Source organism: Homo sapiens, chromosome 2 (genome assembly GCF_000001405.40).
Source record: "Homo sapiens chromosome 2, GRCh38.p14 Primary Assembly".
NCBI lineage: Eukaryota > Metazoa > Chordata > Mammalia > Primates > Hominidae > Homo > Homo sapiens.
Genome location: NC_000002.12, coordinates 95,843,992 through 95,856,202, shown reverse-complemented (window position 1 = coordinate 95,856,202; position 12,211 = coordinate 95,843,992). Strand labels below are relative to the sequence as shown.

Sequence of the window (12,211 nt, the reverse complement as noted above, 5' to 3'; positions counted from 1 at the left end):
AAGTTTGCTTTGTTTTACTTAGGTTTCTGAAACTGATGAAAAAGAAGACCTGCTGCATGAAAACCGCTTGATGCAAGATGAAATTGCCAGGCTCAGGCTGGAAAAAGACACAATAAAAAACCAAAACCTGGAAAAGAAATACTTAAAAGACTTTGAAATTGTGAAAAGAAAGCATGAAGACCTTCAAAAGGCTCTAAAACGGAATGAGGAAACATTAGCAGAAACGATAGCCTGTTATAGTGGACAGCTTGCTGCTCTGACGGATGAAAACACAACGCTCCGTTCTAAACTGGAGAAGCAAAGAGAGAGCGGGCAAAGACTGGAAACAGAAATGCAATCATACCGTTGTAGACTGAATGCTGCTCTATGTGATCATGATCAAAGTCACTCATCAAAAAGAGACCAAGAGCTTGCTTTCCAGGGCACAGTAGATAAATGTTGTCATTTACAGGAAAATTTGAATTCTCATGTTCTGATTCTTTCTCTGCAACTTTCTAAAGCTGAGAGTAAGTTCAGAGTCCTCGAAACTGAGCTCCATTACACAGGAGAGGCTCTGAAAGAAAAGGCTTTGGTTTTTGAACACGTGCAAAGTGAGCTAAAGCAAAAACAGAGTCAAATGAAGGACATTGAAAAAATGTACAAAAGTGGATACAATACAATGGAAAAATGCATAGAAAAGCAGGAAAGATTTTGTCAACTAAAAAAACAAAATATGTTGCTTCAACAGCAACTGGATGATGCTCGCAACAAAGCTGACAATCAAGAAAAAGCAATACTTAATATTCAAGCCAGATGTGATGCTAGAGTAGAAAACCTTCAAGCTGAGTGCAGAAAGCACCGTCTCTTACTAGAAGAAGACAATAAAATGTTGGTGAATGAATTGAATCATTCGAAAGAAAAAAAATGCCAATATGAAAAAGAGAAAGCAGAAAGAGAAGTAAGTATCAAGAAAAATAAGTATTTTTCAAACTTCCTGAAGTAAAATTTAAAGTAATATTTGGTTACAGCTGAATGTTGGATCTAGTTGAATATAAAAAAGGATACATATGATAAATATATCTGCTTAGAAACATTCCTTGTCTCCAGCAAGTCAAAGTTAGAACTGAGAGATGCTTTCCTCTGATTAAAGTTAATGTGTCACTTATAAAATTTTAAGTTTTAAAATGTTAATATAGACTAACATTAATAATGTAGTCTTATACTGCTGAAATAATAATTTTAATGTATTTATGTTGCAACATTTTAAGACCATGATAAATCAGGTATATGGAAATGCTCATACCTAAAATGGTATTTTGAAATTGATTCAATTAAGTGGGGTACTTTGACAGTGAATTTCAGATTTCCTAGATGAACTGAAGTGTATTCCCTATTTCATAATTACTTTTCTTCAGTAGCTTTAAATATGTCTTAGTTGGTAAAATTTTGTTTTTCTTCATGTCAATTTGACTTAAATCTGAAACTATTTCAATCTCAAATTATGTATAGATATGATCATTCTATTCTTTCAAGGCATCTAATTTTACTTCTATTATAATATGGGGAAAATGCAGTAAATTTTAGCCAAATCATGTTTGATTTAATCTTCCCACTGACATTTATAATTTACTTTCAGTTTTTAAATAAAAAATTTGCTCATAATTTTTATTTCAAGGCTCAATTACTATCATTTGGATATAACTTTGTCCAGGACAAAGAGAGGCATAGCTATCTGTGATTTATTAGTTTGACACTGGATCCCCATTCTCAGACTAAGGAGGATTTCAGACTAACGAGGAGTGGCAGGATTCACGTAGAGTAGGAATGGAGTGAGTACGGAGGAGAGATATAGCAGCTGAGTCAGGGCGGGAGGTGGAGGGCGGGTTACTTAGAGCATCTAAGGCCACTGGAATTTTACTTTTCTTCTGAGATAGACATCTATTGGAAGGATTTAAGCAGATGATTTAATGTGAGGAACTCTGAGGTTGATTTGAGTTTCTAATTTAAAAAAAGAGGGAAATCATTCCACAATGTATAATTTACTACCGTCAGTCTCACCCACATACTCATTTCTTTTTGAGACTTCAGAAGGTTTTTAAGCATTGCAGATTCATCAAGGGAGGAATGACTAGTGGGCTGAATATGTTGTGTGAATAACAATACCAGTTTGGCAGGAAGATAACACCTTCTGTATCCTTAACTGGATTCAGTAATACACGGGAATGTGTACACATGAGGAAAAGAAGGTGAATCGGTCTGTGTGGTGATATTTTTCAAAGCGTATGCTTTAGAGTTAAATATTATTAATGGTTTAATAATAAGGTGATTTGTAAAATCAGTAACAAAAATAACATCTTATCAGGTAGCTGTGAGACAGCTTCAACAAAAACAAGATGATGTCTTAAACAAACGATCAGCAACAAAAGCTTTGCTGGATGCTTCATCGCGTCACTGCATCTATTTAGAAAATGGGATGCAGGATTCAAGGAAGAAATTAGACCAGATGAGAAGTCAAGTATGTATGCAACTTTGCACACCAACAACTGTTAATCTGTAGCTAGTTAACTAATATAAAGTGTTTTGGGGTACTAATTTTAGTGGATGGCTTTCTTTTGTATTTTTATGATAATTAATGTTATTAAAATTTTATAGTGGATGGCTTTCTTCTGTATTTTCCTTATTATTAATTTTATTAAGATTTTATTATAATGCACCTATATCTTAATCTCTGGCTTTCATTCTGCCATTTTTTATACATATATTTTTTTCTTAAATATTTAACCTTAGGAAAGTTGAGAATTATGCATCATTTCTCACAGAAATTGAGAGAGTTTTTTTCCTGTTAAACGTCTATTTTTAATGATTTCTCTATTGGCATGGTGAGGCAAGCCAGATTAATTCAGAGGATAATGTCTAATGGAATGTTTCAGAAAATTATCTTCTTTTTAGTCTCTACTTTTCTGAATGTATAAAGAACCTGTGTATACTTATTTCATAGATTTCAGGTTAATTTGTTCAGAAAGGCCATTTTACTGAATAAATTTTTATTTCGATGAAAATCGTTACTCCTTTTGTATTGGGCTCAGAGAGCACACTCTGTCTCTATATGAATATGGACAGTTCGCATTTGCCAACATGTATCTATTTTCTCTTATTTGTAGAAAAAGCTAAACTAAAAAGGGGGTTATAGAAGGTCAGCAAAGGATGGGTTTGAGATGTTTGGGTTGGTTAAGTGGGCATTTAGACAACAGGGCTTCTCCTTTGGCATGTTTAATGGACACCTTTGCAGTTTAAGATGATGCTTTTAAATTACTTCTCTCCTAATGATGACCTGAGTCCTGCTATTCAATGGGAGAGTCAATAATATCCTGTAGGATCTTATTTGGAACTGACTTTGTCGATTTTAATTTTGTTCCTGCTTGTTTTTAAATTTTCTTGTTGTTTCCCTAGAAAGAAAAGATGACGCTTAGTTTTAAATATTTAAAAATGTGCAAGTTGCTTTGCTATAATAAAACTAAATGCATACATACAAAAAATAAAATTATAGTTGATGTGGTAGTGTTTGGAATTCAAAATATAAATGCTTAGCCTGATGTAATCCTTTATCTTTCCACATTTTACCAGTTTGTAAGTTTGAGTATTTAACTGATAAAATGTAATTCAAAAGCAAGAAGAATGTTGTGTTTTAGTCCTAGAGCAGGGGTCTGTGAACTTTTCTGTAAAGGGCCAGATAGTATTATTTAAGGCTTTGTGAGCCATAAGATCCTTGTTGCAATAACTCAGCCCTGCAGTTACAGCACAAAAGTAGCCATGAACAATATGCAGACTGAAGGGGTGTAGCAGTGTCCCACTAAAATTAATTACAAAAAACAGGTAATGGGATGACTTCTCCTAGATTATGACCTTTTATAAATAAAAAAGATTCTGATAGTCTAAAATATTTTATATACATTTTGTTGATTCATTCATCTACTGATGGACATTTAGGTCATTTCCAAATGTAATTTTTTAAAATTCTTTGTTTTAGTTTCAAGAAATACAGGATCAACTTACAGCTACTATAAGATGTACTAAGGAGATGGAAGGCGACGCACAAAAGTAAAATTTGAAGCAGCACACAAAATAACTTGAGTATTTATAAAGCAAAGGAGCACTGTAGTATGAAAATTGTATCAGTTATGATAATTAGTATGTCTTTGTGAAGCCAAAAAAGTTTCATCTGTAAGCTATATTGACATACATCATTTTTCTACATTATTCCTAAATTTTGCATATTATCAACAAAACACAGGTAGAAAAATGACACAGTAGCCCAATCGTCTACTTTTGTGATTGCTAAGAATTTGTGTAATTATACCTTCAGAAGTTTGTTTAGAATTTACATGATTTAAAAACAATTATGTGTGAGAGTAATTATTTTAAAATGCACATTTTAGGCTTGAAGTAGAAAATGTCATGATGAGAAAAATTATTAAAAAACAGGATGAACAAATTGAGCGGTTTGAGAAAATCCTGCAGCATTCAAGTTTGGTAAGCTGATTTCTTAATTTCTGTCATACTGAAAAGGAATTTTATTTTTCCAGTAGGACGGGTTAAATATCCCTTGTCCAAAATGCTTGGGGCCAAAAGTAGATTTTTTTCAGATTTTGGAATATTTGCATATACCTAATGAAATATCTTGCGGATGGTACCTGAGTCTAAACATGAAATTCATTTATGTTTCATATATACCTTATGCACATAGCCTGAAGGTAATTCTCTACAATGTTTTACAGTAATTTTTTGCAGGTAAGAAAGTTTTTACTGTTTTCCCCAGAGCCTGTCACATGAGGTCAGGTGTGGAATGTTGCAGTTGTGGTGTCATGTCCGTGCTCAAAAAGTTTCAGATTGTAGAGCATTTTGGATTTCAGATTTTTAGATTAGGGATGATCAATCTACAGTACAGATGCTCCTTGACTTACAGTGGGTTTACATGATAATGTCTCTTGTTTGACTGAAACATTATAAGTAATATTTGATTTATTTCAGATGCTGCAGGTGTTTGAGAGCTAGATGAAGGTATGTTGCCAAAATTTATGAATTAAATTCCAATCATTGATTTCTGAAATAAACTCTAAGTAGTGAACGGTATTCCCTCTCAATTGCTTGGTTAATAAATGCTACATTAAATATTTTTTCTTACACACATCTAGTGAAAGATGTGAAAACATAAACATTCATAGTGAAGGGTAATACTTATGCTTTGTTAATTCATCATGTTCCATAGCTTTAAAAAATCGCAAGAAGTCTGTGTATCCCTTTTTTTCTGGCCCTACACTTTTCTTCTGCCACCCCTATAGAACTATCAGCCTGCAAACTGAAACTGTTCTCACAAAACAAAGGCATCGTCAACTTCTCAAGGTTAAGGTAGTGATTTAAGGCTAACAGACCCCACACTCGTGATAATAATTAGTTAAGCAATTACAGGTCACAAGCAGTCACTTGACCAGTGACATTTTAAATCTCTAGTCATTGACTTTGTCATTGGTTTACTTTTGCCCGTGGGAAAAGTTGAAAATTCCTTAGCATGGAATCAAAACTCTCACATCAGTGTGGTTCTTGTCAAGTTATTCAGCCTTATCTTTCGCCACTTACCATACTCTGCACCTTTGTTCTAGCATCCAGCCAAACTAGACTACATGGAGCTCCACAGTGATCGTCTTCACCTCCAGCTGTTTGCATTTACTTCTTCCCTCTATCCTACATGTGTTTTCCTTCCCCTTCAGATATCAACCTATGAATTGCCTCTACCAAAAAGCCTACAATATTGACACAAACCTGGGCTAGTATCCCTTCTATGTCTTCCAATAAGTGCTGTCTTATGCCTGTCATTGTATGTATGACTCTGTACGGGAATTGCCTGTTTGTTTTTTCAGATTATAGCATACAGTTGTTGAGGGGTGGACTGTATCATCTTTATCTTGTAATTCCAGTGCTTGTCCTAGTACCTTAGCACATGGTTGCTGAATACATGAATGAAGAGTGAGAAACCAGAAGCTCTGATACTTAACTGCCATGATAATGAATTCAGTGTGCAACTATGGGCAAATTATATTTAATAGTAATTGCATATTGTACATATTTTTCATTCTTATTAACACTGATAAACTTTTCAACATATACTGACTTTCTCTTAGTTAACTGTGAAATCATTTAGATAAAGAATATAATTCTTTTTCATTGTAACTTCTGAATTTAAATCTGAATCCTCTATAGCAGGGGTCCCCAACCCCCAGGTCACAGACAGGTCCATGACCTGTTAGGAACCAGGCTGCACAGCAGGAGGTGAGTGGCAGGCAAGCGAGTGAAGCTTCATCTGTATTTCCAGCCACTGCCCGTTGCTCACATTATCACCTGAGCTCTGCCTCCTGTCAGATCAGCAAAGCCATTAGATTCTCACAGGAGTGAAAATCCTATTGTGAACTGCACGTTCAAGGGATCTAGGTCACATGCTCCTTATGAGACTCTAATGCCTGATGATATGTCATTGTCTCCTTTCTCTTCACGATGGGACCATCTAGTTACAGAAAAACAAGCTCAGGACTCCCATTGATTCTCCATTATGATGAGTTGTGTAATTATTTCATTATGTATTACAATGTAGTAATAATAGGAATAAAGTGCACAATAGATGTAATACGCTTGAATCACCATCCTGAAACCATCCCCCAAACCCCCATCTGTGGAAAAATTATCTTTCACAAAACTGCTGCCTGGTGCCAAAAAGGCTGGGGACTGCTGCTCTATAGCTTCTGCACTAGAATCTACTAATGAGTAAAATCTAAATCAATACCTAGTTTTAAAAGCATAACAAGAATATGTGCTGTCTGGCTGCAGTGGCTCATGCCTGTATTCTCAGCACTTTGGGAGGCCAGTGCAGGTGGACCACTTGAGGTCAGGAGTTCAAGACCAGCCTGGCCAATATGGTGAAATCCTGTCTCTACTAAAAACACAAAAATTAGCTGGGTGTGGTGGTGCATGCCTGTAGTCTCAGCTACTCGGGAAGCTGAGGTGGGAGAATCACTTGAACCCGGGAGGCAGAGGTTTCAGTGAGCCAAGATCATGCCACTGCACTCCAGCCTGAGCAACAGAGTGACTCCATCTCAAATGCAAAACAAAACAGAAAGAATACGTGCTGACAAAAAAAATCTAAAAGACAATAAAATTGTATTACTAGGCTGTTAACATGATATTTTGTTTCCCATTAAATGTGTGACATGCAAAAGTATTTATTAAATGAAAATATTTTTGTATCTTTTATGTCTGATGAAAATTTATATCATGTTTTAAATGATGTTTCTTGGCCTCTTTAACTTTTTTTTTTTATTATTATTATTTTTGAGACGGAGTCTGGCTCTGTCACCCAGGCTGGAGTGCAGTGGCGAGATCTTGGCTCACTGCAAGCTCCGCCTTCTGGGTTCATGCGGTTCTCCTGCCTCAGCCTCCCGAGTAGCTGTGACTACAGGTTCCCAGCTAGTTTTTTTTTGTATTTTTAGTAGAGATGGGGTTTCTCCCTGTTAGCCAGGATGGTCTCCATCTCCTGACCTTGTGATCTGCCCGCCTCGGCCACCCAAAGTGCTGGGATTACAGGTGTGAGCCACTGCGCCAAGCCTGAAAATCTTACTACCTAAATAACTTCCCACTCCACTCACACCCACAATCTTTCTATAATCCACATTCTCTCCTGAGACAAGAGCTTGGGAAGTTCCGTCTTTCTGAGAGAACTTTATATTGTTCAGGAATTCTTTAATAAGCTTTTACACCGTTGGGGAAACCAGGGAAAAGCAGGTTTGTCACTGCTTTGCTGAGGAGCAGACTCACATGCTTTGGAAGAATTTAGTAAACCTTCAATAGATGGCCTAAGATACTAACAGGGGCCATCTCATTAAGCTACACAGTTATTTATAAATGAAAGTATAATCTAGAACTTACATGTCAAAGTCTTCCACTACAAAGATGGCAATATTTGACTAAAACTGCAATGTTTGTCCCAGTTAACAAAACTCTAATCAAGCCCCTGCCCTTCTCATTCTGTTTTTCCTTTTAAACTTTTTTTATATTTTAATTTTTCATTTGACAAATGCATATTTCCTCTTTATACCATGCTTCCAAGTGTCACTCTGATACATACCTTCAATGACCAGACACAGGATTGTGGAGTTTGTTGTGGACACTCATCCCATGAATAGGGAGACTCCGATAACCTGAACAGAAAGCTCTGAAAAGAAAGGAAACTTTCTTTTCCGTCCATACAGAGCTTCCCCCCATTATTTCAGTGTACACAAACCAACATCAGTTCTTTAACACAAAAATAAAAATACTCAAGATCAAGCAATTGTGAGGGAAATCATCTTTCCAGAAGTCAATTCTTCTAGCGGTTACCTTCAGCATATACTACATGAATGAAAAGAAGTTGGTCAAACGAGTAAAACTTTCCCACCTCATTCCATTTCTGTCTACCCATTGACAACACCTTCGGTCTTCTCACAAATATTGAGTAGAAACACTGCCAACTCTTCACCTTTATCTGGCTCATTCCCAGAGCCAGGAGAAGATGTGATTTATTTGGTGGATGGGAAATCTTATCCATTGGTCCCATCAAATCCATTGGTCCACGTTTGCCTATTAGTAAGGCAAACTTACTCAGTGATCAATGAGTACATCTAGTCTCTCTTTCTCCTCTGGATTCTGAACAGGAGAAGTGGAAGGCAGGTGAAGACCCTCCCTGCACTGGGTGGGTAACTGACTGTTCTTCAGATGAACTTTTTTTTGTTCAGGTTCTAAAGTCAAGGCTAGGGGGCAATATTAGAAGTCTTTTTTGGTCAACATTAAGCCATAGTTTCTAAATCAGCTTTAGGAGGAATAATGTATTTGGATATTGATCTGACCTCTTGTTTTTATTTCTAAGTTTGTTTGGCACTGAAAAAGGAGAGGTTTGTTATCAATCCACACCCCTAATGCCCTGACATCCATGAATCCGTTTTAGTGGAATCCAGATCTCTAAGAAAGAGATATAAAATATTTGTTCCTATCCAACTGTGATTAATATATTTCCAACTATGTTGCTGTCTGTAAGTAGAGTCTGCATACGTGTTTCTGGTTCATATATGCCTAGGGTTCCAGAGCATTACATTTCCATCAAAATGTAGATCCCAAGAATGCCAGAGAGGGTCAGGCCGAGGATAGAACAGACAGTGATTTTCAGATACTGCAGTAGGAAGGTGGATCCACCTCTTGGCTTACTTGTAACCATGAAGTGTGGGAAAGTAATGACCAGATTGAGTAAATGACCAGAAATTCAAAACTAAGCCACAAGAAATTTGTCTATTTCTGCTTTTGTTGACTGCTATCAGGGTTACATCAAAAACAGTATTGCTGAGACCAGTGTTGTGGAGCTTTAACTCTATGTTTTCTTCTAGTAATTTTACAGTTCAGGCCTTCTATTTAAATCTTCATTTGGAGTTGATATTAGTATATGGTGTAAGTTAAGGGACTAACTTTATTTTTCCTGTGGATATTCAGTTTTCTCAACACCATTTGTAGAACAGACTATCCTTTAACCATTGTATGTCCTTGGCACCTTTGTCAAAGATAAGTTGACTGTGTGTGGGTTTATTTCTGGGTTTTCCATTTTGTTTAGCCAGTTTGTCCATTTATATGCCACTACCATGCTATTTGGATTACAATTGTTTTACAATATGTAATAAAATTAGGTAGCAGGCTGTCTCTAGCTTTGTTCTTTTTGCTCAAGATTATTTTGTCTATTTTAGGTCTGTTCAATACAAATGTCAAGATTTTTTTCCATTTCTGTAAAAGAATGGCATTGGAATTTTGATAGTGATTGCATCAAATATGTTGCTTTTGGTATTTTGTTCATTATCACAATATTAATTCATCCCATCCACAAGCATGAATTTTTTTTTTTCATTTACTTGTGTTTTTAAATTTTTGTTCATTGGTGTTTTATAGTTTTTCATATACAGGACTTTTAATTTTTTGCTTAAATTTACACCTAAGTATTTAATTTCTGTTGCTATCGTACTTGGGATTTTTTAAAAATTTCTTCAGGTAGTTTGTTATTTGTATACAGAAACACTTCTGATCTTTGTTAGATTATTTTGTATCCTGAAACCTTATTGAATTCATGCATCAGTTCTAACAGTTTTTGGTGGAATATTTAGGGTTTTCTGTATACAGGATCATGTTGTCTGCAATTAGAGATAATTTCACATTTCTTTTCTGAGTAGGATGCTTTTCTTTTCTTTTCTTGTCTAATTGTTCTGCCTAGGAATTCCACTGTTAACGATGAAAAGAAGTGGTGAGAGTGGTCATCATTGTGTTGTCCCTGAACATGGAGGAAAAGCTTTCAACTTTTCACGTTGAGAATAACATTAGCTAAGAGCTTGTCATACATGGTTCTTTTTTGTGTCGAGATACATTTTCTGTACACTTGTTTTGTTGAGAGCTTTCATCATGAAAAGGTTTTAAATTTTGTCATGTGCTTTTTCTGCATGTATTCAGAGAATCGTACGATTTTTGTCTTTGACTTTGTTCATGCATTTTATCACATGTATTCATATGCATATGTTGAAACCAACTTGCATCCAAAGGATGAATCCCACTTGATCATGGTGAATGATTCCATTCATATATTCTTAAATTTGGTTGCTAATGTTTTGTTGAAGATTTTTGCATCAGGGTTCATTACTGACATTGGCCTAGTATTTTCGTCTCTTGTAGTGTCCTTGTCTGTCTTTGGTATCAGAATGATGGTAGCCTAATAAAATGAGTTTGGAAGTATTTCCTCTATTTCACTTTTTTGAAAGAGTTTGAGAGTAATTTTTATTAGTTCTTTAAAGGTTTGTCAGAATTTAGCAGTGAAGCCTTCTGGTCCTATGCTTTTCTTTCATGGGAGGCTTTTAATTTCTGCTTCAGGCCGGGCTTGGTGGCTCATGCCTGTAATCCTAGCACTTTGGGAGGCTGAGGTGGGTGGATTGCCTGAGGTCTGGAGTTCGAGACCAGCCTGGCCAACGTAGTGAAACCCTGTCTCTACTAAAAATACAAAAAAATCAGATGGGTGTGGTGGTGGGCGCCTGTAATCCCAGCTACTTGGGAGGCTGAGGTAGGAGAATTGCTTGAACCTGGGAGGTGGAGGCTGCAGTTAGCCGAGATTGTGCCATTACACGCTACCTTGGGCAACAAAAGCAAAACTCCGCTTCAAAAAAAAAAAAGGAAATTCTGCTTCAATTTCCTTATTATTTATTAGTCCATTCAGATTTTCTGTTTCTTCTTGATTCAGTCTTGGTAAGTTGTATATTTGTGGAAATGTTTTTATTTCTTCTATGTTATCCAAATTGTTGGCATACAAATGTTCATTATATGAACAATTGTAATCCTTTGTATTTTAGAGTTAAGTTGTATTTTCTCCTATTTCATTTCTGATCTTATTTGTTGGAATAGTCCTTTTTCTAGTTAGTCTAGATACGGATTGGTTGATTTTGTTTATCGCCTTAAAAAGAAGTTCAGTATTAATTCTTTCCATTGGGTTTCTCATATCTATTTTATTTATTTCCACTTTAATCTTTGCTATTTTCTTATTTCTGCTAATTCTTGGCTTTGTTTCTCATCTAGTTCATTGAGGTATAATGATTTATTTAACTACATTCTATAAGTTTTGGTATGTTGTGTTTTCATTTTTGTGTGTCTTAAAATACGTTTTTTAATTTTTTCTGTAACTCATGGGCCATTTATTAATATGTTAAATTTTGCCATTTTATGTATTTTTCAAGATTTCTTGTGTTACTGATTTCTAGCTTTATGCCATTGGGATGCAAAAATTTTCTTTCTATAATTCAATTCTCTAATATTTGTTAAGATCTGTTTTGTGGCCTAACATATGATATATACTGGAGAATGTTCCACTCACATTTCAGAAGAACAGGTACACTTCTGCTGTTGGATAGGATGTTCTGGGTATATCTGTTAGATCCAGTTGCTCCAAAGTATAATTCAAATCTAATGTTTCTTAATTTATTATCTTTCTAAATGATCTTTCCATGGTTGAAATTGGGGTATTGAGGTCTCCTACTATTATAGTATTGCAGTATATTTTTCTCATGAGATTATTTAATAATTGCTTTATGAATTTAGGTCTTGTGACCTTGAGTGCATATATATTTACAAGTATTATGTC

At 35.5% G+C, this 12,211-nt stretch overlaps 1 protein-coding gene across 2 annotated transcripts in view; it reads left to right on the top strand.

Moving 5' to 3' along the window:
- Nucleotides 1-7,271, top strand: part of ANKRD36C (ankyrin repeat domain 36C) — a 142,893-nt gene extending 135,622 nt beyond the window's left edge. Inside the window, exons 84-89 of one of the 2 annotated variants that reach the window (NM_001310154.3) lie at nt 23-937; nt 2,342-2,494; nt 4,007-4,077; nt 4,416-4,509; nt 5,008-5,037; nt 5,637-7,271. In NM_001310154.3, coding sequence (NP_001297083.1) covers nt 23-937; nt 2,342-2,494; nt 4,007-4,077; nt 4,416-4,509; nt 5,008-5,031 — 1,257 coding nt within the window. In that variant the 3' untranslated portion in view covers nt 5,032-5,037; nt 5,637-7,271. The remainder of the gene's footprint in view (nt 1-22; nt 938-2,341; nt 2,495-4,006; nt 4,078-4,415; nt 4,510-5,007; nt 5,038-5,636) is intronic. The other variant, NM_001393982.1, reaches the window with a different exon arrangement.
- The last annotated feature ends 4,940 nt before the right edge of the window (nt 7,272-12,211 follow it).